At 38.6% G+C, this 27,495-nt stretch overlaps 1 protein-coding gene and 1 pseudogene across 21 annotated transcripts in view, besides 1 other annotated feature; one reads left to right on the top strand and one right to left on the bottom strand.

Moving 5' to 3' along the window:
* ZZZ3 (zinc finger ZZ-type containing 3) overlaps positions 1–27,495 on the top strand; it is a 120,983-nt gene that overhangs the window by 17,720 nt on the left and 75,768 nt on the right. For 10 of the 21 annotated variants that reach the window (NR_164775.1, NR_164776.1, NM_001376156.1 and 7 more), the window contains exons 2-4: positions 24,024–24,157; positions 24,233–24,295; positions 26,077–26,230. Coding sequence is in view for 10 of the 21 variants with exons in the window: in NM_001376156.1 (NP_001363085.1) it covers positions 26,208–26,230 (23 nt within the window). In the remaining 11 variants the exon portion in view is untranslated. Of the gene's footprint in view, positions 1–8,663; positions 8,684–19,906; positions 19,927–24,023; positions 24,158–24,232; positions 24,296–26,076; positions 26,231–27,495 lie in introns of those variants that run through there. The other 11 variants (NR_164777.1, XM_047417341.1, XM_005270729.5 and 8 more) reach the window with 4 other exon arrangements.
* Positions 3,076–3,575: an enhancer, noted in NCBI's record as "H3K27ac hESC enhancer chr1:78127789-78128288 (GRCh37/hg19 assembly coordinates)". NCBI's record gives its function as "activates a minimal SCP1, AML or CMV promoter by ChIP-STARR-seq in primed H9 embryonic stem cells {active_cell/tissue: H9 hESC(primed)}" and the evidence as "EXISTENCE:reporter gene assay evidence [ECO:0000049][PMID:30033119]".
* RN7SL370P (RNA, 7SL, cytoplasmic 370, pseudogene) lies at positions 20,061–20,355 on the bottom strand (annotated as a pseudogene).

The following is a 27,495-nucleotide window of genomic DNA, read 5'->3' as shown; positions in this document are numbered from 1 at the left end:
TTAATGAATGAGACAGTGAATCACAAATTTTCTTAAACATTCCAGTATTCTTATTAACCAAGCTAAATATTCATACACTTTTAAACTTAAAATCATAAGCGTGAAGTCAGTTACTATTTTAAATTTAGAAACTATCATTGTCTATAGGAACTTAAAAATATTTAGGATAGTTTTAAACCACACAGTATTAGTATCATGAGTTTGATATACGTAATTTCAATATTCTAATTAATCATGGACGTTGGGCAGTCACTTACCTTCGGGAACAGTTTTGCTGTCTTCAGCAAGTTGAGATTCCTGTGACATACTTTATGTCCACAGTTCAGTTACCATCTCTTGACAGGCTGTTTATCAGCTTGACATTGGCCTTGGAAGCTGTCTTTGTCTAGGTGGTTTTTCTCATGTCACAGATGGACATAATGAACTGTCAGTAAAAATTGTCTGTATGGTAACAGTGGAACTCTAAGTTGATGTTGGTTTCTTCTGAATTGAAGTTTAAGACCTTTTGTAATTGTTTTGTAATTGCTTTTTAACTCTATTGCCAGATCAAGTTTTGTAAACCTCACCCAGATTATTTCACCACTTGATTGGATTCCAGGAATCCATTTTCTGTCTGGCTGATAGCACAGGTTTTAGATCATTTAAAGACATTAAGGAACTGAGAGGTATTGATAGCTTTTGTTAATTTGTTGTAACAAAAAGTATGCCAGAAGACTAGAAACAGCATAAGGTCTTATTTTTAAAAAGGAAACCAGTAGTTTTGGAGATTGTTTTCCTAGGTATGCCTTGGAGAAGAGGCAGAGAAGTACAGGCTTAGCTCATCAGCATTAAGAACATTTCATTAATAGTGTAAAATAAACTTTCTTAAATACTGTTAGAAGGAATTAATGTCAGACTTTGAGAGAAGTATCTAAAAAGGTACTTTTTGTTGTCCATTTTTAATATTTTCATTAATGTTTTGAATAAATGTACAGTTGTGCTTATAAAATGTCAGAACAATTTAGCTGGCAAGGATAACTAAAACAACTTGTAAGTTCTGTCTGAAACTACAGGCAGAAACCTATAGTGTGAGCTGCTTAAAAGTGTGGAATTAAAAAAATATGGAATTCAGATAGAAAAAATTACATGAGTAAAATTTTGTTCAATTAATGTTAAGGCACTGTATGTACTAAGAGAATAAAAAATGTATTGCTCTATTCCTTCGAGGAGCCTATAATTGAATGGGGAATATAGATATATCAAACTATACATTGTAATTTTATGATAGGATTATTAAGCATTATGGGAGCAAAGGAGAGAGTAGTTAATTCTGATGGATCATTGAATTGGCCTTTGAGGAATAAGAGTTTTCTAGGAATTGAAGAGGGGAGAAAGTCATCTCCTTTCTTTCCCTCCCCATTCTTCTTTAAGGTACTGAAAAATCAGATTCAGGACAGTGTTTATTAAGACAGATATATTTGTGGGCAAATAAAGAGTAAATTGGAATGAGAGATTAATTAGGCTACTACAGTTGTTTAAATAGAATGATGATGGCCTGAGCTGGAGCAATAACAATAGAACAGAAAGAGTAGATAGTTTGTTTTTTTTTTTTTCCAAGACATTTTGGTGATAGAATAAGTAGGGTTTATTAGCCGGGTGCCATGGCTCACACCTGTAATCCCAACATTTTGGGAGGCTGAGGCGGGCGGATCACCTGAGGTCAGGAATTCGAGACCAGCCTGACCAATATGATGAAACCCCGTCTCTACTAAAAATGCAAAAATTAGCCAGGCGTGGTGGCACGCACCTGTAATCCCAGCTACTCAGGAGGCTAAGGCAGGAGAATCGCTTGAACCCGGGAGGTGGAGGGTTGCGGTGAGCCAAGATCGCGCCATTGCACTCCAGCCTGGGCAACAAAAGCGAAACTCCGTCTCAAAAAAAAAAAAATAGGGTTTACTGATTGTATATTATTAGGAGTTTAGTTTTATATAGTCTCAGACATCCAACTGGTGAGTTGCTTAAAAAAGAAAAAACAAATGAAGTACCAGGCTGCAGTAATAGGATTTTGTCCATAATAAGGGATATGATATTCATTCCATGTTGGTTAGGACACATTTACAATGTTGGCCTTATTTCTGAAAGCTACACTTTAAGAAAAGTAAATGAAAAGATAGATATGTCAAGAGGAGGGTAACCCATGAGAACCTTTGAAGGAATTGAGAGTGCTTATTGTGGAGAAGGAAGACTTGACAGGAATGAGTGAAGGAGGGAAGGGGACAGTTGTTTTCAGGTAATGCAGGGCTGTAATGAGTTGTTCTACAGGGTAGAATTAGATCCAGGATACCACCAGACTTTTTTTTTCTGAGAACTAAGATATTCTCTTAACTGCAGTTACAGTGATCAAAATTAGGAAACTTAACATTAATACCATTATCTAATTTACAGTCCACAATCAAATTTTTTCAATTATCCTAATAATTATTTTTATAGCTTTTTAAAATCGAAGATCATACATTGCATTTGATTTCATGTCTCTCCAGTCTCCTTTAATCTGGAACAGTTAGTCAAATTTTTTTTTTTATTAATTTTTTTTTTGAGACCGGGTCTCACTGTGTTACCCAGCCTGGAGTGCAGTAGCGTGATCATGGTTCACTGCAACTTCCACCTGCCAGCCCCAGGCAATCTTTTCACGTCAGCCTCCCGAATAGGTGGGACTACAGGTGCGTGCTACCATGCCTGGCTAATGTTTTGTTTTTTTGTAGAGACGGAGCGTCACTATATTATCCAGGCTGGTCTCCAACTCCTGAGATCGAGGGATCCTCCTGCCTTGGCCTCCCAAAGTGTTGAGATTACAGGCGTGAGCCACAGCACCTGGCCTCACATTTCTTTATTTTATGTATTTGTTTTTTGAGACAGGGTCTCACTTTGTCATCCAGGCTGGAGTGTAGTGGCATGAATTCGGCTCACTGTAGCTTTGACCTCCTGGACTCAAGTGATCCTCCTGCTTTAGCCTCCCAAGTAGCTGGGATTACAGGCCTGAGCCACCATGTCCGGCCTGGCCTCAAATTTCTTGACATTTTTTAAGAGATTAGGCCAGGTATTTAGTGTCCCTCAGTTTGAATTTCTTGTGGTTAGATTCAGGGTGAGTACACTGATACTTCCAATTCTAGTCACTACAGGGTATGTTCAAATTTCCCACCCTTCCATATTTGTGATATCTTAAGTTTTTTTGCTTCATGTTTAAAAATACCTGTTGGGTGAGGTGCATTGGTTTATGCCTGTAATCCCAGCACTTTGGGAGGCCAGGGGAGGAGGATCCCTTGAGCCCAGGAGTTTGAGACCAGTCTGGGCAACATAGCGAGAACTTGTCTCTACAAAAAAAAAGCCAGGCTGGGTACGGTGGCTCATGCCTGTAGTCCCAGCACTTTGAGAGGCTGAGGTGGGCAGATCATGAGGTCAGGAGTTTGAGACCAGCTTGGCCAATATGGTGAGACCCCGTCTCTACTAACAGTACAAAAATTAGCCGGGTGTGGTGGTGTGTGCCTGTAGTCGCAGCTACTTGGGAGGCTGAGGCATAAGAATCGCTTGAACCTGGGAGGCAGAGGTTGCAGTGAGCCTAGATCACGCCACTGTACCAGCCTGGGCGACAGAGCAAAACTCCATCCAAAACAGAAACAAAAACAATGGTACAGAAAAACCAAGTAAAAAAAAAAAAAAAAGCCAGGCATCATGGCTTGTGCCTGTAGTCCTAGCTACTCAGGAGATTTAGGTGGGAGGATTGCTTGAGCCCAAGAGTTCAAGGTTGCAGTGAGCTATGATCGTGTCACTGCACTCTAGCCTGGGCAACAGAGCAAGACCTCGTCTGGAAAACAAAAAAAATTCCTTGTTAGCAATTTGAAACTATAATCAAGAGATGAAAAGGGGGTGTCTTGTGATTTAAGAGACTCCTCTAACTTGGAAAAAGAAAGCAATTTTGAGTGCCCACTTTATGCCAGACATTCCATAATCTGATATGGAATGATAATTATTCAAGATTGGTGTGCCTTTTTCTTTCATGGAAGAGAAAAGTAGTTAATCTCTCCTCAGAGAGGTTGTAATTTTTTACCAGGTATCTAACTGCAATGCCCTTAATCATTCCTCTGTGATTAGGGCAGCTAAGTGTCAGAAAAGCCAGTATGGTATGTTTTCTAGGCTAAATAACTTCTGAGGGCCCTTTTAGTCATTGCATTGGAAATTTACTTGGTTTTTCTGTACCATTGTTTTTGTTTTTGTTTTTGTTTTGGTTTTGGTTGGAGTTTTGCTCTTGTTGCCCAGGCTGGAGTGTAATGGCGTGATCTTGGCTCACTGCAGCCTCGGACTCCTGGGCTCAAGCGATTCTCCTGCCTCAGCCTTCCAAGTAGCAGGTATTACAGTTACCCGACACTCTGCCTGGCTAATTTTTGTTTTTTTAGTAGAGACGGGGTTTCACTATGTTGGCTAGACTGGTCTCGAGGTCTGACCTCATGATCTGCCCACCTCAGCCTCCCATAGTGCTGGGATTACAGGCATGAGCCACTGCGCCTGGCCTCTGTACCATTGTTAACTGTATGGTGTTCTGAGTGATTTTCCTAAAGGGCATTCAATGATTTTTTTTTTTTTTTTTTTGCGTTAAAGCAATTAAAGCTCAATTTAATGATGGCAAATTAGGGTAACAAATGCACTTAGAGTAAATTAGGAATTTGGGTTTGAAGTTTCCTAGAAAAATATTTATAAATGAAAAATACGTGTTTGTGTTTATTGTGTGTTCATAAATGTGTGATTCTTTTTAGATCAACTATTTCTGTATATAATTGGAAGAAATAGAAATTAGTCCAGAATGGTAGAAAGCTTGAATTTGGTCATGATGGTAGTATGAAGTGTAGAGAGAAGCAGTCTGAGAGTTGGGGCCTAAAATAATAGGATAGAAGTAATGTGGCCTTCTGCAATTCCATATCTGGGTTATTCCTGAAAGGATTGAAGGCCGGGTCTTGAAGAGAGATTTGTACACCTGTGTTCATAGCCACACTGTTCACAATAGTTAAAATGTGAAAGCAACCCAAGTGTCCATTAATGGATGAGCAAAATGTGGTATATGCATAGGGAATATTATTTACCTCTAAAAAGGAAGGAGATTCTGACATGTTGCCACATGGATGAACCTTGAGGACATTATGTTAAGTGACATGAGCCAGTCACAAAAAGATACTGTATGTTTCCACATATATGAGGTATTTAGAGTAGTTAAAATCATAGAAACAGAAAGTAGAAAGGTAGTTGCCAGAGGCTAGAGGTGGGGGATATGCGGAGTTAATGTTTAAGGAGCGTAGAGTTTCAGTTTTACAAAATGGAGTTTTGGAGATGGATGGTAGTGATGATTGCATTATGAATGTATTGGATTACACTGAACCATACACTTAAAAATGATTAAGATGACAAATTTTATGTTATGTGTATTTTACCACAATAAAAAAAAATATTGGGGAGGGGAGAAGTAACTTACCTCTCACTAACGAGGCATACTCTTCTTTACCTGCTAGAAAATGAAATGTCAGCCAGGCACAGTGGCTCATGCCTGTAATCCCAGCTCTTTGGGAGGTTGAGATTGGAGGATCACTTGAGGCCAGGAGTACCACTCCAGCCTGGGCAACATAGTGAGACCCTGTTTCTATAAAAATTTAAAAAATAGCTGGGTGTGGTGGCAAGCCCCTGTAGTCCTAGCTACTTGGGAGGCTAAAGCAGGAGTATCGCTTGAGCCCAGGAATTTGAGGTGGCAGTGAGCTATTGTCCTGCCACTGCCCTCTAGCCTGGGTGACAAGAGTGAGATCCTGACTCAAAAACAAACAAACAAACAAACAAAACCACAACAACTGAGCTCTGCCTTCCCCCAATCCTCACTCCTCTAGTAATACTTTAAAAGGAACTTTTTTTTTTTTTTGGGTAATCAAAACATAGGATTCAACTGGTTTCTTTCTTTCTTTTTCTTTTTTTTTTTTTTTGAGATGGAGTCTCTCTTTGTCACCCAGGCTGCTGGAGTGCCGTGGCGTGATCTCGGCTCACTGCAACCTCCACCTCCCGGATTCAAGTGATTCTCCTGCTTCAGCCTCCTGAGTAGGATTACAGGCACGTGCCCCCACGCCTGGCTAATTTTTGTATTTTTAATAGAGATGGGGTTTTACCATGTTGGCCAGGTGGGTTTCACCATGTTGGCCAGGCTGGTCTCGAGCTCCTGACCTCAGGTGATTCACCCATCTTGGCCTCCCAAAGTGCTGAGATTACAGGAGTGAGCTACCACACCTGGATCAACTGGTTTTTTAAATTTAAAAATTGATTAAGTATATTAGAAAAATTCAATGAGATAATAAATCGAATTAAACTAAATTAAACATTTTTCTTTCATTAGTAATATTAAAACACTTAAAGCTACATTGAGTGATAGCAAATTAGTAAAGCCTATTAAGTCTTCTATGTAAAGTATGATTCAGAAATATATATTTTATATATATATGCATGATCTCGGCTCACCGCAACCTCCGCCTCCCAGGTTCAAGCAGTTCTCCTGACTCAGCCTCCCTAGTAGCTGGGATTACAGGCATGTGCCACTACGCCCGGCTAATTTTGTATTTTTAGTAGAGACGGGGTTTCTCCATGTTGTTCAGGCTGGTCTCGAACTCCTGACCTCAGGTGATCCGCCTGCCTCGGCCTCCCAAAGAAGTATATTTTAATGAACTTTCTTGCATAGTCATTTAAAAATGCATTTAGAATTTTTAACAAATGAAGCTTTATCTTAAAAGCCACCTGACAGTGTCCTTCAAGGATGGAAACATTTATATGCTGTGACCCAATAAGTCTGTTTTAAGGTAATAATCAAATGCAGACATAGAGTGTACAAGAATGTTAATCACAGCATTTTAAATAATAAATAGTATAATATCAGAAGCAGCTTAAATGTCCTAACAGAATGGAAATGGTCAAATTATAAACTATTTATACAGTTTTTATATGGCCATTAACAATTTTAGGCTGGGCGGTGTGGCTCACGCCTGTAATCCCAACATTTTAGGAAGCCAAGGCGGGAGGATCGCTTGAGCCCAGGAGTTGGAGATCAGCCTGGGCAACATAGGGAGACCTTGTCTCTACTAAAAAGAAGAAGAAGAAAAAAAAAAAAAGCCAGGATGTGGTAGTGTACACACCTATGACTATAGGTCCCAGCTACTTGGGAGGCTAAGCTGGGAGGTTCGTTTGAGCCCGGGAGATCAAGGCTGCAGTGAACAGTGATCTCCCCATTGCATTCCAGCCTGGGTGACAGAGTGAGACCCTGTCTCTAAAAAATAAAAAAATCCCAGACAATTTAGCCCTTAATTATGTGGCTTAAGTGGGGAATAAATGCCAGGATGCCAAATTAAGTGTGTGTTGTGTGAATTCTGATTTTTAAAATTCACATTGAAATAAGAATGGAAGAGAATACACTAGTATGTTGTGTTTTTTTTTTTTTTTTTTTTTTTTGAGACAAAGTCTCGCTCTGTCGCCCAGGCTGGAATGCAGTGGCGTAATCTCAGCTCGCCGCAACCTCTGCCTCCTGCATTCAAGCGATTCTCCTGCCTCAGCCTCCCTAGTAGCTGGGATTACAGGTGTGTGCCACTGAGCCTGGCTAATTTTTGTATTTTTAGTAGAGACAGAGTTTTGCCATGTTGGCCAGACTGGTCTCAAACTCCTGACCTCAGGTGATCCACTCACCTTGGCCTCCTAAAGTGCTGGGATTACAGGCATGAGCCACCGCACCCAGACCTACACTAGTATGTTAAGTGGTTGTTGAAATGGGGTAAGCTATATTTGTACTTTATATTGTGGATGTGTCTAAATTATTGTATTTTGTATAATTGTCCATTCATTTAACATTTATTGGATACTATATGCTTGTTAAATAATTTAACAATTATTTATTGGATACCTATACTTGGGGTCCTAGAACCAATCCCCCCCACGTATACTGAGGGATGACTATAGTCTGTTCTCATTATTCTTGGATTCCACGTTTGTGAACTCATTTACTGGCTAAAATTTATTTGTAACCCCCAAATCAATATGTCTGGCACTTTCGCAGTCATTTGCGGACATGTTCAGAGTGGTGAAATTTGAGTTGCTTGATGTACACATTTCCAAATGAGGTTAAACAAAATGACTCTCTGCTGCCTTGTTCTAGCTCTCTTGTCTATTTACTTAGTGCTACATCTTTCCCACTTTTTTTTTTAGAGGTGGTTTCACTGTTTAAAATTGCCCCTAAGTGTAGTGCTAAAGTGCTGTCTATAGTGTTCCTAAGTGCAAGAAGGCTGTGATGAAAAGTTATAGTGCTGTTGACTGTGAGTTCCGTGTTTATGAATCAGCAATATAAAAGTGTTTTTAGGCTGGGTGCGGTGGCTCACGCCTGTAATCCTAGCACTTTGGGAGGCCGAGGTGGGTGGATCACTTGATGCCAGGAGTTAGAAACCAGTCTGGCCAACACAGTGAAACCCCATCTCTACTAAAAATAGAAAAAATTAGCTGGGCGTGGTGGTGCACACCTGTAATCCCAGCTACTCAGGAGGCTGAGGCATGAGAATCACTTGAACCCGGGAGGCGGAGGTTTCAGTGAGCCGAGATCATACCGCTGCACTCCAGCCTGGACGACAAAGTGAGACTGTCTCGAAAAGTAAGTAAATAAATAAAGAAATAAAAGTGTTTTTAAATAAAAGTACAGATAAAACAAGGATATGTGTTGTTAGGCTGTTGAAAATGTTTTAGTCAGAGGCTAGCAGGAACTTCACTCTGAATTTCTCTTGTATTGAGTATTTGATAATTCAGTGCTCATGGCAACTTTATGAGAATCAACTATATATGATCTGTTATGGCACTTAGGGATTTTGAAATACTGAAACTAGCTTGGGAACTGCTTTACCTGTCCTGTAGATTCTTAGAGGTGACGGAGAGTCCAGCTTAGAGGTTGGTTAATATGCTGGTAAAAATTTTTGTGCCCTCTGAAGACAGTACAAATTCAAGAATTTAGAGCAATGGTGCATATCTGATAAGATTCAAGGTCTCAATATTTTGATATTCAGACCTTGACTTTGATATCAAAAGATATTTCAGGGAGGACTCTGTCCCATGAGAAATGGTAAAATATCCTAACTCATTGTGAATCTTTACCTTGATCCGTCTCCTTTAGATTATTTTATTTGCTTTTAAGACTTTTCCTAGTCTTTTTGATTGTTGTGTTGACAGAAACCATTGAGAATTCTTAAGACAGATGGAGCATGGCTTTTAGAGAGGATTAAGTAGTCATTTATTTATTACCTGTCACTGGCCTTAAAAAAAATTGACATTAAATAACATCCTTAAGGATAAGTATCACTAAATAAAATTAATGGAAATTTTGACTTTTTTCCTAAATTTAACTGACAAATTTAAAAAATATTTAAAGCAAGCCAAGAATTAAAATTTTTTGTAAGCATTTTCAAAATGCAGTATACAGTTAGGCAGCTATAAAATATATTGTTGTGAGGAAAACTGTAAGTTGATGAAAGGGAAACATTTGTAAAAATTAAATATATAGATGGATCTTTACATCAGGCATTTCACCTAGGCCTTGCTGAATTATTTATGCTTCATTTATGAATGTCCATTGAAGATGAATGGCTGTCCAGAGCTGAGATTATGTCTTAATGATAAGTACATAGTACACTGTGTGTGCTAAACTAATGTATCTTGAAATGAATCAGTCTTGCTAGTCCAATAATCATTTTCAAGTTAGTCTGTTCCAGGATTTAACAAGCTGGTTTGGACCTAAGAATGATATATGGTGCCTTCTCATCTCATTTCTTCTTCTAAGTCATAGATCAACAAAGGGATTTTTTGGAACTGAAAAGTCCAGGGTGTTTGTCTGGTTCAGGCTGAGCTAAGTCAGTACGTTTAAATGATGTCATATTAGTGCTCTGCTTCTGTTGCTCTACTGCTGACAAATTCAGCTTTATTTGTTGCTACCTGAAGGAGAGTTTTATCTATCTGCCTTGTCTGTTTGTCTGTCTCATTAGCTATTGTCTTAGTCTGTTTGGGCAGCTGTAACAGAAAACCATAGACTGGGTAGCAAATAAACAACAGCCATTTATTTCTCATGGTTCTGAAGGTTGAAAAGTCCAAGGGCAGATTAAGTGTTGGCAACGGCCCAGTTCCTGGTTTATAAGTGGCCATCTTCTCACTGTGTCTTCACATGGCTGAAGGGGCTTAAACTTGACTAAACCCAATCAAAGTAAAGGTAATTCTAGAAGAAAATTAATTTTGATCTTAAAAACCCTTTACTTGATCACATTATATAAATATTAACTCTTTTATTGGCTTATCATATGCTATGGTTTGAATGTCCCATCCAAAACTCATGTTGAAACTTAATCCCCAGTGTGGCACTATTGAGAGGTGGGACCTTTAAGACGTGATTGGATCATGAAGTCTCTGCCCTCATGAATGGATTAATGGGTTAATTGGTTAATGGATTAATGGGTTATCATGGGAGGGGAACTGGTGGCTTTATAAGAAGAAGAGAGACCTGAGCTAGCACATTAGCACGCTCAGCCTTCTCACCTTGTGATGCTCTGTGCTACCTCAAATCTCTTCAGAGAATCCTCATGAGCAAGAAGGCTCTCACCAGAGACAATTCCTTGACTTTGGACTTCTCAGCCCCTGTAACAGTAAGAAATAAATTTCTTGGCTCGGTGTGGTGGCTTATACCTGTAATCCCAGCACTTTGGGAGGCAAAGGTGGGAGGATTGCTTGAGTACAGGAGTTCGAGACCAGCTTGGGCAACATAGAACTTGTCTCTATTTAAAAAGAAAGAAAGGAAGAAATTTATTTTCCACAAATTACCCAATTTCTGGTATTCTGTTATAAGCATAGAAAAAGGAGTAAGCTTCATAGAGATGGAAAAGATATCCATCTATCTATGGAGAGGCGTGGGTACCAAACATAAGGCAATATGTAAGGCCTGATGTCAAAAGGGCCAGTTATGTTTATTTCCTATTTTTTCTTTTCGGTTTTGTTTTTTCAGTCTGTTAATATAGAGTGAATTGCATTGAACCAACCTTATGTACATGTAAGCCAGTCTTACATTTTGGGGATAAACATCATTTGGTCATGGTGTATTATTTTAAAAATATTATTATATTTGGTTTGTTAAAAAGTTGTTTGGAGTTTTACATCTATGTTTATGAGGAATATAGGTTTGTAGTTCAAATTTCTTGTAATTTTTTTGTCTGGTTTTGAAATCAGACTAATCCTGGCCTCATGGAATGAGTTGGGAAATGTTCCTCTTCAGTTTTCTAGAAGAGTTTGGGTAGAATTAGGATTATTTTTTTCCTTAAATGTATATCAAGTGGCATAGTTAAAATTTACCAGTGAACTCACCTTGGCCTGGAATTTATTTTTGCCAAGTTTTTAACTATAACTTCACTTTTTTTTTTTTTTTTTTTTTTTGAGATGGAGTCTCGCTGTTGCCCAGGCTGGAGTGCAGTGGCGCCATCTCAGCTCACTGCAATCTCCGCCTCCTGGGTTCACGCCATTCCCCTGCCTCAGCCTCCCAAGTAGCTGGGACTACAGGCGCCTGCTACCACACCTGGCTAATTTTTTGTATTTTTAGTAGAGACGGGGTTTCACCGTGTTAGCCAGGATGGTCTTGACCTCCTGACCTCTTGATCCACCCGCCTTGGCCTCCCAAAGTGCTGGGATTACAGGCGTGAGCCACCGTGCCTGGCCTAGCTTCACTTTCTTTAAGGATATTTAAGAAATAATTTCTTGAGTGAGTTTTGGGGAATTTGCAGTTTTTCATGGAATGTGTCCATTTCATCTAAATAGTTGGGTTTATTGACATGAAGTTATTTGTAATATTATCTTTTTTAATTTTTTTTTGAGACAGAGTTTCAATCTTGTTCCCCAGGCTGGAGTGCAATGGCACGATCTAGGCTCACCGCAACCTCCGCCTCCCAGGTTCAAGTGATTCTCCTGCCTCAGCCTCCCGAGTAGCTGGGATTACAGGCATGTGCCACTGCGCCTGGCTAATTTTGTATTTTTAGTAGATACAGGATTTCTCCATGTCGGTCAGGCTGGTCTTGAACTCCCGACCTCAGGTGATCCACCCACCTCAGCCTCACAAAGTGTTGGGATTACAGGCGTGAGCCATCGCGCCTGGCCGATTCTCTTATCTTTTAAAAACATTGAGATATACACTTAACCATAAAAATCACCCTTTTAAATTATACAATTTGGTGATTTTTAGTATATTTACAAAGTAGGACAACCATCAGTAGTACCTAATTGCAGAATACTTGCATCACCCTAAAAAGAAACCCCATACCTATAGCACTCACTTTCTACCATTTCCTCCCTCCCACAGTCTCTGCAATCACTTATCTCCTTTTTGTCTCTATGGATTTGCCTATTCTGGATTCTTCCTGCCTGCCTGCCTGCCTTTTTTTTCTTTCAGAATCTTGCCCTTTTGCCCAGGCTGGAGTGCAGTGGCACAATCGTGGCTCACTGCAGCCTCAAACTCCCAGGCTCAAGCAGTCCTCTTGCCTCAATCTTCTGAGTAGCTGGAACTACAGGCATGTGCAACTATACCTGGCTAATTTTTTAATTTTTTGTAGAAACAAGGTCTTACCATGTTGCCCAAGATGGTCTCGAACTCCTGCAGTTCAAGTGATCCTCCTGTCTGTCTAGGCCCCTCAAAGTGCTGGGATTACAGGTGTGAACCACTGCACCTGGCCTATTCAGGGTATTTTATATAAATGGGAATTTTACAATATGTAACCATTTGTGACTGACCTCTTTCAGTTAGCATAATGTTTTTAAGGTTCATCCATGTTACAGCATTTGTCAATACCTCACTGTTTTTTATGGCTTAAGTGTATTTCATTGTGTTGATATGATATTCCTTGTTTTGTTTATTCACTCAGCAGTTGATGGACCTTTAAGTTGCTTCCACTTTATAACTATTATGAATAATGCTGCTATGAACATTTTTGTACATGTTTTTGTGTGGACATATGTTTTCCTTTATTTTTGGGTGTATACCTAAGAATGGAATTTCTGGGTCATATGGTAATTGTATGTCTAACTTGTTGAGGAACTGCCAAACTATTTTCCAAAGCAGCTGCACCATTTTGCATTCCTACCAGCAATGTATGAGGGTGCAAATAACTCTACATCTTTGCCAACACATGTTTTTGTTGTCTTTTTTATTATAGCAATACTAGTGGGTGTGAAGTATCTCACTGTGGTTTTGATTTGCATATCCCTGAGGGCTAATGATATTGAGCATTTTTTCATGTGCTTATTGGCTATTTGTATATTTTATTTGCAGAAATATCTGTTTAAGTCTTTTACCCATTTTTAGATTAGGTTTATCTTTTTATTAAGTTGTAAGGGTTTTTATAGATAGAGAGATAATTACAAATATTTTCTCCCATTCTATGGGTTATCTTTTTATTCTCTTGAGTTCTTGGAAGCACAAAAGGTTTTAATTTTGATGATCCCCATTTATCTGTATTTTTCTTTGGTTGCTTGTGCTTTTTGAATTTTTATGTTTTAATTGTGGCAGAATATATGTAACGTAAAAGTTACCATTTTAACCTTTTTTTTTTTTTTTTGGAGATGGAGTTTTGCTCTTGTCGCCCAGACTGGAGTGCAGTGGTGTAATCTTGGCTCACTGCAGTCTCTGCCTCCCAGGTTCAAGTGATTCTCCTGCCTCAGCCCCAGAGTAGCTGGGACTACAGATGCACGCCACCACGCCCAGCTAATTTTTTCTATTTTTAGTAGAGACGGGGTTTCACCATGTTGGCCAAGATGTTCTCTGTCTCCTGACCTTGTGATCTGCCTGCCTTGGCCTCCCAAAGTGCTGGAATTATAGGCCTGAGCCACCGTGCCCAGCCCCATTTTAACCATTTTTAAAGGTTACAGTTTAGTGGCATTAAATATAGTCTCACATTGTGTGTAACCATCACTGTGGTCCATCTCCAGAATGTTTTTCATTTTGCATAACTGTAACTCTGTACTCATTAAGCAATGACGTGACATTTCCCCCTCCCTTAGTCCCTGGCAACCACCATTCTGTTTTTTGTTTTTATTAATTTGACAATTTTAGATAAACTCACGTAGTAATTGGAATCACACATTTGTCCTTGTTGGTTATGCTTTTAGCATCATATGTAATAAACTTGTTTAATCCAAGGTCACAAAGATTTGCACCTATTTGCACAAAGATTTGTTAGTGTTTTTTTATTTTTAAAGACAGATTCTCTCTCTCTGTCGCCCACGCTGGGGTGCAGTGGCGTGATCTTGGTTCAGTGCAACCTCCTGGGCTCAAGTGATCCTCCCACCTCAGCCTCCCAAGTAGCTGGGATCACAGGCACACACCACTACGCCCAACTAATGTTGTTTATTTTTTGTAGAGATGGGGTCTCTCTTTGTTGCCCAGGCTGGTCGTGAACTCCTGGGCCCAAGCTATTCTCCTCCCTCAGCCTCCTAAAGTGCTGGGTTTACAGGGATGAGCCACCATGCTCAGCAAGAACATTATCATTTTAGTGCTTACATTTAGGTCTTTGGTTCATCCTAAGTTAATTTTTGTATATGGTGTGAGGTAGGGGTTCAATGTCATTCTTTTGTAGGTGGATATCCAGTTGTCCTAGCAGCATTTGTTGGAAAGATTATTATGTCCTCAATGAATTGTTTTGGTACCCTTGTTGTGAAAATATCTATAGAACCATCTTTTTAAAACATCTATAGAATCTATAGCAACATCTCTTTTTTCTTTAATATTGATAATTTTGTTCCTGATGAGTCTGTCTAAAGATTTGTCAATTTTATTGATTTTTCTTAAGGAATCAGCTTTTGGTTCATTGATTTTTCTCTATTGCTTTTTTGTTTTCTATTTCATTGATTTCTGCTCATTGTTATTTTTTCTTCTTTTTCTGTGGATTATAGTATCCTTTTTTTTTTTTTCTAGTTTCTTAAGGTAGAAGCTGACATCATTGAGACCTTCCTTTTTTTCTAACACATGTTTACTGCTTTGGATTTCTCTGTAAATACTGCTTTTGCTGTTCCCCAGAGATTTTGATATGCTGCATTAATTCCCTTTGATTTCTTCTTTGACTTATGGGTCATTTAGAAGCATGTTATTTATTTCCAGGTATTTGAGGATTTTCGAGTTGTATTTTTTATCACTGATTTCTGATTTAATTTCATCGTGGTCACAGTTTAAATGACTTGAATCTTTTAATGTTCATTTGTTGTTATTCCTTCCAAGTAACTGCTTCCAAATAACTAAACTGCTTGAAACTATTTTTAGACTATTTATAATTGAAATGGCTGTATGAAAGTGATTTTTGATAAAGTTTAAATCTGTCACCTTGCTATTGGCTTTTTATTTTTTCTATATGCTTTTTGTTCCCTTTCTTCTCTTATGTTGCTGTCCTTTGGATTGAGTGTTTTAAACATGTTCTCATTTTGTTTCTTTTGTTAGCTTTTTTACTATTACTTTTTCTCTGTTCATCTGCTTTTTAGTGGTGGTTTTAAGATTTATACTATACATCTTAATTTATCTTAGCATACTTTGAAGTGCTGTTATACCACTTTACATGTAGTATAAGAATCTTACATTGTATGTCCCCTTTCCCACATTTGTGCTATTACATTTACTCCCATTTATGTTATAAACTGTACAGTATATTGGTATATTTTTTGCTCGTCAGTTATTTATGTTTAAAAACTAAGGGGAAAAGCTTTTTTTTTTTTTGAGATGGAGTTTTGTTCTCGTTGCCCAGGCTGGAGTGCCATGGCGCAATCTCGGCTCACTGCCTCCTGGGTTCAAGCGATTCTCCTGCCTCAGCCTCCCGAGTAGCTGGTATTACAGACATGCGCCACCATACCCGGCTAATTTTGTATTTTTAGTAGAGATGGGGTTTCTCCATGTTGGTCAGGCTGGTCTCAAGCTCCCGACCTCAGGTGATCCGCCCACCTTGGCCTCCCAAAGTGTTGGGATTACAGGCATGAGCCACCATGCCCGGCCAGGAAAAGTTTTTTATAGTTATCTTCATATTTACCATTTCTGGTGCTCTATATTCCTTTGGATATATCTAGACTTCCATCTAGTGTCTTTTCCTTCTGCCTAAAGAACTTCTTTTAACATTTCCTATAATGCATGTCTGTCTATGATAGGTTTTTTACTATTTTAAGTTTGAAATAATTTTTATGTCACCTTACTTTTTGAAACACATTTTATTGAGTATAGAATTTTTGGTTGACAACTTTTTTCAGTACGTCAAAGATATACCTCACTGTTTTCTGGCATGTGCTTCCACCGAGAAGTCAGCTGTCATTCTTATTTTTCTCTCTGTGCCTGTAATGTGTTGTTTTTCTCTGCTTTTAAGATATTCTTTATATTATTGATTTTTAAGCAGTTTGGTTATGAGCTGGCTTACTGTAGTTTTATTCATGTTTCTTGTGCTTGGGTTTATTGAGCTTCTTTGTATTTTGTTTTTTTGAGATGGAGTCTCGCTCTGTCACCCAGGCTGGAGTGAAGTGGTGCAATCTCGGCTCATTACAGCCTCTGCCTCCCATCTTCAAGTGATTCTTGTGCCTCAGCCTCCCAAGTAGCTGGGACCACAGGCACACACCACCACTCTTGGCTAATTTTTGTATTTTTAGTAGATATGGGATTTCACTATGTTGAACCCCACCCAATCTCCTGACCTCAAGTGATCCACCTTCCTTGGCCTCACAAAGTTCTGGGATTACAGCACTGAGCCACCATGCCTAGCTTATTGAGCTTCTTTGATCTGTGAATTCGTCATTTCCATCATATTTAGAAAGTTTGGGATCATTTCTTACAGTATTTTTTCTGCTTCTCTTTCAGTCTTTTGGGGACTTCAGTTACCCATGTTTTAGGCGTCTTGATGATATTCTATATCTCATTCATGGTTTTGTTTCCACTCTTGTTTCTCTCTGTTAGGTTTCTATTGCTATGGCATCAGATTGATTGACCTTTTCTTTCAGTGTCTAATCCCAGCATATTTTTCATTCCAAACTCTGTGTTTTTCTAAGTAGAAGAATCAATTCACATTAAAAAGACTTACGTATCTCTACTTAGCTTGCTTAATATATCCATCTACTGCTTTGAACATAAGAACTACAGTTATAACTGATTTAGTATTCTTATCTAGTGACTGTCATGTACAGTTCTTTTTCTGTCGATTGCTTTTTCTCATTTTAAGTGATATTTTCCTGCTTCTTTATATGATTTTTTTTTTTTTTTTTTTTTTGAGGCAAGATTTCACTCTGTCACCCAGGCTGGAGTACAGGGGCATGATCGTGGCTCATTGCAGCCTCAACCTCCTGGGTTCAAGCAAAACTCCCACCTCGGCCTCCCAAGAACCTGGGACTACAGGCATGTGCCACAACATCTGGCTAATTTTTGTAGAAATGGGGTCTTGCCATGTTGCTCAGGCTGGTCTCAAACTCCTGGGCTCAAGCAATCACCCACCTTGGCCTCCCAAAGTGTTGGGATTACAGGTGTGAACCACCACACTTGGCCTGTTTGGTAATTTCTGATTGGATTCCAGGCATTCTCAATTTTACCTTGTTTGGAGCTGGATTTTTTTTAATTCCCATAAATATTCTTGGCCTGTGTTCTGGGACACAGTGGAGTTCACTGGAAATGGCTTTATCCTTTTGAGGCTTGCTTTTCATCTTTGTTAGGTGAGACCAGAATAGTCTTTAGTCTAGAGCTCAGTTTGCACCACTACTGATGCAGTGTGGTACTGAGCATTGTACTTCATGTCCCACAAATTATGAGGTTGTCTACTGTGGCTAGTAGGTTAACCAGTTGTTCCTGACTATATGTGAGCCACGTGTGGTGTTATGCCTTGAGCTGGCTCATGAGAGCCGATTGTTAAAATATCAGGAAGTTTGTGAGCTAGCTTAATTCTTAAGATAATTAAATTATATAAGCATAATTAAATCACTTATTACGAACAAAGGTAGTAAATGCTCAGAACTCATTACCTCATATAATTATATTATTTTATATTACTGTTTTTGTGCACTCATGGTAATTTATATCTATTGGGTATTTTTTTTTTTTTTCCTTCCTGAGACAGAGTCTCACTAGGTTGGCCTGGCTGGAGTGCAGTGGTGCAATCTCAGCTCACTGCAACCTCTACCTCCCGGGTTTAAGCGATTCTCATGCCTCAGCCTCCTGAGTAGGTGGCACCACAGGTGTGCACCACCATGCCCTGCTAATTTTTGTATTTTTAGTAGGGATGGGTTTTCGCCATGTTGGCTAGGCCGGTTTTGAACCCCTGGCCTCAAGTGATCTGCCTGCCTTGGCCTCCCAAAGTGCTGGGAGTATAGATGTGAGCTGCTGCAGCCAGCCTTATTATGTCCTTATGGTAGAAACACTATGTAATGTATAATGTGTTGCCATGTATTTTTTTCCGATTCTTATTCACTGATATGTCAGTAGCTTGAAATTGGCTGTGGTGGAAGTATATATACCACAAACATTAGTAACCCTATAAACTAGGAACTACATACTACTTACCCTTCAGTTATTACATGTTTTCTGGCATACCCTTGCCTATGGATGTCTTTCCCTGTTTTACTGATCAATACTCAGCTCAAGATTTAAGGAGGTCCCCTGCAGATTATCTGAGATCTTGCCTCTCCTTTCTGCTCTCTCCTCTGTGGTACTATGTTCTGGGAGACTGTAGCTACCTTGGCCTCCCCTAAACTCCTCACTTCATTATCTTAACTCCAGAAAACCACTGAGCTTGCTTGGGACACCTTCCTTTCTCTGCAGCTTAGAAATTCTCCAGTAAGTAAACTGGGGACAATTGTAGGCTTTACCTCATTTATTTTTTCTCTTTCATTGATCACTGTCCTGTGTTGTCTTGTTTCTTTTGTCAGAAATAATTTTCATACTTTTTTTGGTCCAGATTTTTAGTTGTTTCAGGTGGGAGCATAAGTTTCATCCCTGTTACTCTATGTTGGCAAGAAGCATAAGTCTCTTGGAAGAATTTTAGGTAGGAGAATGACATATCATTCTGTAGAGCATGCATTTTTAAAGGATAAGACTTAACGAAAGCAGAGCTGGGCGCCATAACTCATGTCTGTAATCCCAGCACTTTGTGAGGCTGAGGTGGGAGGATCACTTGAGCCCAGGAGTTCAGGACTAGCCTGGGCAACATGGTGTGAAACCCTGTCTCTACAAAAAATACAAAAATTAGCTGGGCGTAGTGGCATGCACCAGTAGTCTCAACTACTTGGGAGGCTGAGGCGGGAGGATCATTTGAGCCTGGGAGGTCGAAGGCTGCAGTGAGTGGTGATTGAGCCACTACGCTCCAGCCTGGGCAACAGAGTGAGACCCTGTCTCAAAAGAAAAAAAAACAAAAAACAAAAAACTTAGACTAATTAGAAGGCATTTGGGTTAGTTCAAATCAGAGCCTAAGGTTGGTCATGGGTGATGATACTACAGAGGTAGGAACAATTTGAGAAATATTTAGGAGGAAGAATCTAGTTTAGGATTTCTAAAAGGGTGTATCATAACTCATTTACATCTGAATCTCCTAAATGTTGATAAATGAAGATTGTATGCTCCATTCCAAGTTTATTGAATCTGAATTTTTTTTTTTTTTTTTTTGAGATGGAGTCTCGCTCTGTTGCCCAGGCTGAAGTGCAGTGGTGTGATCTCGGCTCACTGCAACCACCACCTCCCAGGTTCAAGCAATTCTTCTGCCTCAGCCTCCCGAGTAGCTGGGAATTACAGGCACACACCACCACACCTGGCTAATTTTGTATTTTTAGTAGAGACAGGGTTTCATCACGTTTGCCAGGCTGGTCTTGAACTCCTGACGTCAGGTAATTTGCCCACCTCAGCCTCCCAAAGTGCTGCATTACAGGCGTGAGCCACTGCGCCTCGCCTGAATCTGAATTTTTAAGAATGAGGTTTAGAAATTTGTATTTTATTTCATTTTCTTCTCATTTTGTTTTTAAGAGACAGGGTCTGTTTTACTCAAATTGGAGTGCAGTGGCTGTTCATAGGTGCAGTCCCACTACTGATCAGCATGGAAGTTTAGACCTGCTCTGTTTCTGACCTTGGCCCATTCTGCCGTCCTTAGGCGACCTGGTCATACCCTGCTCCCTGGAGATCACCATATTGATGCCGAACTTAATGCAGACACCTGATTGACATAGTGCACTACAACTTAGAACTCCTGGACTCAAGCGATCCTCCTCCCTCAGCCTCCCAAGTAGCTGGGACTATAGGCATGTGTGACTGTGCCCAGCTAGAAATTTGTATTTTAAACATGTACCTAGATTTAATGCTTATGAACACTGAAGTTTTATTTCTTTTAATTAATTGATTAATTAGTTAATTTTTTAGAGACAGGGCTTCACTTGGTTGCCCAGGCTGGAGTGCATTGGTGTGATCATAACTTACTGTAGCTTGTAGCCTTGAACTCCAGGCCTCTTGCTTCCTGAGTAGCTAGGACTACAACAGGTGCACACCACCATGCCCCACTAATTTATTGTGTGCATTTTTTTTTTCTGTAGAGACAGGGTCTTGCCAAGTTACCCAAGCTGGTCTCGAACTCCTGGCCTCAAAGTGATCCTTCTGCCTCGGTCTCTTAAAGAGCTGAGATGACCAGCGTGAGCCATTGTGCCCAGCCCGAACACTAAAGTTTTAGAAGAAACTGATGTAGTTTTTTCAAAGTATGATCATCACTGGGAGCCCATACATTGGAATGACCTGAAGTGCTTAATTGAAAATGAAAATTTATGCATTTGTCTTCAGGCCTTCTGAATCTGAATTTATGAGGTGATTGGGTCCAGGGATTTCTTAGACACACTAAAATTTGGGAGTCAGTAACCTGAAGTACTTCACAGATGTGATCTCTTTTGAACTTCACAATAACCCTGAGAGGTAGTAGGCAGGTATTATGTGTTTCATTTTATAGATAAAGTACAGATAGGCAAAGTGACTTGCTCATGGCGAAATAATTATTGATGACAGAGAATCACATTTCTGTCTCCTTCCACCAAATCCTATATTCTTCCTATTGTCTTTCTATTGGCTGTGAAATAGGCTTATCTTTGAAAATCTATAGAAGGCATCCAAGACACTGAACATGTGGTTCTGAGCAGAAAATGTACTCTTCTTTGATTATTGTACCAAATGAAAATTCGGTTCAGCTCTTTATAGCAAGTAGCTGTGAAAGCTTAATTGTCTAGGAAAGGTGTTTCTGGGCTGGGCGTGGTGGCTCATGCCTGTAATCCCAGCACTTTGGGAGGCCAAGGTGGGTGGATCACCTGAGGTCAGGATTTGAGACCAGCCTGGCCAACATGGCAAAACCCCATCTCTACTAAAAGTACAAAAATTAAATGGGCGTGGTGGCAGGCGCCTGTAATCCCAGCTACTCAGGAGGCTGAGGCAGGAGAATCACTTGAATCCAGGAGGCAGAGGCTGCATTGAGTCGAGATCGCACCGTTGCACTCCAGCCTGGGCAACAAGAGCAAAACGCCGTCTCAAAAAGAAAAAAAAAAAAAAGAAAGTTATTTCTGTCTTTGACCATATCTTTATGCTTTTTACAACTGACGTTGAATGTCTCTTTCTTATAAAATCATTTAAAATCATAGTATAGTGCCTATATGTGATACTTTCACTTACAACAAGTGAAGAATCAGGTAATAAATATGACTCTGTTGTATGACCTTCCTTTTGAATTTTTTCCAAGCTCTTATAAAACTAAAAAATAATTTGCCTGAGAATTTAGGGATTGTGCTTAACTTTGAACTTCATTGTTTTATTTTAATAGTAAGTTGTGTGGCTTATACCCTGGTTATATCACTAGGGCTGTATCTTCTAGTGAGATTTACGTAGTCTTTTGAAGTGATTACATGTGTGCTGTGAATCTGAGATCACGTAATCTATTTAACACAGTAGTACCAGTGTTAAGACTGCAAGAAGTAGGAAAAGTAATTCTTTTCAGTGAAGATTGGTTTTGGGTTTGCTTTGGAATGCTTGAATAGTCAATGAATTTTATTAGTACATGAAAACAAGCAAAGCTCTGTTCCAAGGGAATAAATAAGATGGCTTTAGGAATAGGACTTGGATAGTTTGTTTTCTATTTTGTATGCTTTTTAAAAGACAAAATGCTGTTTTTTAAACTTCTAGAAGTAAGTAACTGTAGTTAAATAATTCAAATGAAAAAATTACTGTGTATTGTCATAATTCAAAGCAGTGTTTCTGCTGCAAAAAGCATATAACAGTTTTGCAGAATGCTTGAGTTTGAAATGTATATTGAATGAGGTGAAGAACACAATACAGGGGCTACAAGAGTTTTGGCTAGTTTAATTTCCTTGCTTTTTTGTTACAAGAGATGTCATGACAATTTTTAAACTTAAAAAATACTTAGATCGGTTTTTTCTTTTTTTTTTTCTTTGTTACCCAGGCTGGAATGCAGTGATGCAATCAGGTCTCACTGCCCCTCTAAGGATCCTCCCTAGCAGCTGGGATTACAGGCGCACACCACCACATGTGGCTACCTTTTTCTATTTTTTTGTACAGATGAGGCCTCACTTTGTTGCCCAGGGTGGTTTCAAACTCCTAGGCTCAAGCGATCCTTCTGCCTTGGCATCCCAAAGTGTTAATTTTTTTATGGTGTTACTTATATAGTTTTAATGTTTGAAAACAAGTGAATAAGGAATTGTGTTTGAGGATAGATGTTTCTTAATCGCTCTATTGTTAATGAAACTTCTCACTGAGAATATCTGAATGGTTGACACCCCTAATAACAAGTTTTATCCAGAAAGCATGTGTAAGGTTATCTGCATTTTCATTAAAAAAAATTTTGTTTTTGAGATAGGGTTTACTCTGTTGCCTGGGCTGTAGTGCAGTGGCACGATCATGGCTCACTGCAGCCTCAATTTCCGGGGCTCAGATGATCCTCCCACCTCAACCAAGTACTTGGGACTACAGACACACACAACCACGTCTGGCTAATTTTCATTTTTTTTTTTTTTGTTTTGTTTAGAGAAGAGGGCTCACTATGTTGCCCAGGCTGGTCTCGAATGCCTGAGCTCAAGGGATCCTCCTGTCTTGGCCTCCCAAAGTGCTGAGATTACAGGCATGAGCCACCATGCCTTGCTAGGTTATCTGTATTTTCCACGTAGATTTGTACTCTTTTTACTGTGTAATGGAGTGGTACAGCATGATGAAACATTTTGGAATGCCATTCATACGCTGCTTTCTTTGATATGTATGAATGAACATTCTTTTGTAGCTCCTTTTTTTCACTGATAAACTGGTTAAAATGACTTAAAATTCTGTACGGTGCTTTTGGTCATCAATGTAAGTGTGTAGATCTATTTCTCCAACTTGTAACCGTCAACCAAGTCTGTTTTTAAGAAGCTTACCTTTAAGGAATGTTTGTATACCTACATGTCAGTTTATTTTAAATAACATTTATTTTCTGTTTACTTCCAAAATTACTTAAGAAAGATATCAGATGTTTAAAGTGACATTTAAAGGACCGTCATTATCTTTTTTTTACTTCATTTTTAATTATAGATTTATTCCCTAAAATATAAAACACACAAAAAAGTACTTTTTCTATTAATGGAGAGTAATTGTAGACTTAAGGAAAATGACATATGTCTATATTGGTGGTAAGAAAAGGAACCTGAGGAGCTCTTCAATTTGTAAGGGTTTAAGTATGGAATTAAATTTAGAATGTTTGTATGTGGGTACTCCCTGAGAAGAACTTGGAAGTGTTAGCCAATCATCTTAGTTTGTTGAAGACACATATTTCACAGCTAAATGTAAGGAATTACTTGTGAAGTTTAGTAGAAAATGAAGTGTGCTATATAAGTGTTTGGAAATATTACCAATTTTATTCACAAATTTGTAAACGGTAACACATCTATAGTGACTATATTATGGTTTCTCTTCACAGATATCAAGTTATTCTAGTACAACCATATAAATAAATAATACCTGAAGTCTCAGTGTAACATGGACAATTAACAGTGATGACAGATAAATACAGACGCATGGGGATCAAATACTAGGCAAAACGCTTTTTAAAAGGTAAGAAATAATGTAATCTTAATTAAGGCCATGTGGGGTTTAGTTAGAAGTAATTGATTGAAGTTTCTTTTTCAGTGTATCAGGCTTTTAAGAAACACTGCAGGATCCTGTCTATCTTAATGCTGATAGAGCTCAGCTGTAAGTATCAGTTCTGTGAAAATAACAGTTGCAGATGTTCTTGCCTGCTAAATATCGTAGTGGATAATCTTCCTATAGTGAACTCTATTCAAATAGAGTAGTTATGTGGTTGATTAGAACTTGATAGAGTGCTACTAGGGCACATTCCAGTATGCTCAGAGATATACTTTAAGTTGTAGATGTTCTTTGCTTTTGATGATTGCTACTACCATCACACACTGTAAAACGTAATGTTTTGCCATGTTTGTGAAAGGCTTCAGTGTTTGGTACAAAGGAGTTGTCACTTGGAGTCTGTTATAAGAAGAGTGGGTTTTCAAGTCAAGGGTTACTTTATGTAGGATCATGTTTTCGCTGAGCTTCTCCCCATGTTAACTTAGAACATTTCTTAATGTACTGTAGTATTAAATGGTTATTAGACAATTTTCCTACCTTGTGCTTTTTAAAGCATTTCCAGGGCATGTTTGGGAGAGGTGGCATCTATAGATATTAGATATTACTATCCCTATTCTCTTTCTAGCTGACTAGAGCAGTAACCTATTTTTATTATGCAGTAAGTCTGCCTAGTAATTACAAGATTTTGTAATTATATCAGTCTTTAAGTTGTAATGCTTTCCCCAAAATGTATCACTATTATAATATCTAGTTTTATGCTTATAATAAAGCGACAGTTTCTGTCATAAACATCTGCTGGTCGTTTTCTTAGTCCTCTTCCTTGTTTTCAGATGGGCACTCATAGTAACCCATTTAGCAGATTGTACATTCTCTCTTTTTTTTTTTTTTTTTGAGACTGAGTTTTGCTCTTGTTGCCCAGGCTGGAGTGCAATGGGGTGATCTTGGCTCACTGCAACCTCTGCCTCCCAGGTTCAAGCGATTCTCCTGCCTCAGCCTCCTGAGTAGCTAGGATTACAGGCGCACACCACCATGCCCAGCTAATTTTTTGTATTTTTAGTAGAGATGGGGTTTCACCATGTTGGCCAGGCTGGTCTCGAACTCCTGACCTTGTGATCCACCTGTCTTGGCCTCCCAAAGTGCTGGGATTACAGGTGCGAGCCACTGCACCTGGCCTGTACATTCTTTGAAAAGGATATCATAATAAATTATTATATAGTAAAAATTAACCAGACTGTTCTAAGAAATGGAATGTAATTAGATTAATTAAATTGTCTGGCTAATTGGGTACTAAAACCGGAAAATCCTTGTTGTTCTTGTTCTTGTTAAAAATACATATGCCAAAAATAATAGAAATGTCCTTTTGTAATTGAATTTTGTAGCACTTGAATAAGCATCAAGGTTTTCCTATAGGTATAGAAGATTTGGTTGATTATTTGTGTGATTCTTTTATGCATAACCTAAATGGTTATGTATACTTGATGTCGAGAATTTGGGAAGTCCTCTAGGACAAGAGTACGAGATGATATTATAAATTCTGTTATGAGAAATGCTATCAAGGGCAACCTTTATCACCGCAAAAAAAAAAAAAAATACTCCCTTAGAGCAATGTCTAGAAAAGAGCAAGTCACATTTTGACTCAGTTCAAACTAATATTGAGTTGTAAGGATTTGGTATATTTTAGTATCTTTTTGGTTTGCTTTTGTTGATTTCTAAAAATCCTATTTCAGTTTCTTAGTATTCTTGAGGCTACAGAGTTACCGAGAAGCATGAAAGATGTCACTATGAACAGTTTCTGTACCTGTATTTCTTCTTATTATAGAAGGAGTAAATCTATTAGCATAAGTTCATCATCTTCTTTAATCCTTTTTTTTCATTATTTTATTTTAAAGAAAAATTTAGGAGGTTCTAGTATTCTTCATGGCTGAAGCTGAGAGAGTCTGAAACCCTGATGCTTAAGCTCCATTCTAGATCATAGCTCCAACTCCTTCAGGATATAAGGAAAAGAGATTATATTTCCACAATGATAGATCTTTGGTTGTACAGGTAAGTTATTTAGTTTTGCAGTAGTGAAGACAGCTATAGTTTGACTTCTTCTTCTTTTTTTTTTTTGAGATGGGGAGACTTGTTATTTTTCCATACATCCTCTGGGTGGCAACTTGTAGTTTGGCTGGCTGTTTATAGGAGTATGGAGCTGCAGGGAATGGGTTAGGAATGAAATATTTCCCTCCCTTTTTTTTTCAATGGGGTATAAATGAAGTGACTGATTATGTTGGAATTTTTTACTCAGGAGGCATTGTGAAATTCCTTGACTTCCTTTTCCTGATCGTCTTTTAAAGTGTGTGTTCATTTACTTTTGTCTATCTGTCTGTCTGTCTGTCTGACTGTCCGCTTATCTGCCTGCCTACCTACCTACCTACCTACCTACCGACCATCTGTCATATATCAGTTTCTCTTAATGGGAAAGAAATAAGAAGTCTCTTTATGTAAAACAATGCATAATAGAGTTCCCAGACTTCAAAGAGGTGACTATTTAAGAACCTTAAGTTGAATTGCATGGGTGGGTTACCAGCCAGGTTTTACTCTTCTACTTTTAACATTATAGATATGGTGGTAATTGCACTGCTGAGGTATTGTCTTAAAATAATTATATGACAAACATGGCCTCAACGTTATTAAATAGTTTATGTTTAGACAACTAGAAAAAGAATCATATTGGTTACACTTTCCAGTTGCATTTGCTCTTTTTTCCTTTTACTTTGGTTTGTCTATGTGAATATATTCTGGTATCATGACCAGTTTACTAAAAATTTTTCACTTAATAAAACTAAATATTATGATAATAAATATCAGCTAAACCATTGGTGTGATGGAAGATTGCCAGCTGCTCAATTCCCAAAATAAACTGTACCACTTTGGTGATTATAGTAGGAACAAAAGCTTATAGGCAAGGTCTTTGAAATATCTTTTTGAAATTTCTTTCTCTTAAGTAAATAGCTGGAGAAGTGTGTCATTAGGTGGGCCTTTTTTGTTTAATAATTATTATCTGTTTTAGTTCTTATGCGTACAGTTCTACAGGTATGATCATAGGAGCTGGAAATTTATGACCTGAAATGTAGCTGATAATGCTTCAAAGAGTGTTTTTCAGAATCCTATAGTTATATTTGGGTAACAGTAGATTCAAATTTATGAGAGGGCAATTCAGCAGCAAATATGTGGGTAGGATATGTGAAATTATAGGTAGGATTGAGGGCTTAATATGAATGGACAAGTTGAAATTCGGTTGACTAGTCCTTCTCAGATATGGCCTC

This window comes from Homo sapiens, chromosome 1 (assembly GCF_000001405.40).
Source record: "Homo sapiens chromosome 1, GRCh38.p14 Primary Assembly".
NCBI lineage: Eukaryota > Metazoa > Chordata > Mammalia > Primates > Hominidae > Homo > Homo sapiens.
The sequence above is the reverse complement of the archived record's forward strand: the minus strand, read 5'-3'. Positions and strand labels throughout refer to the sequence as shown.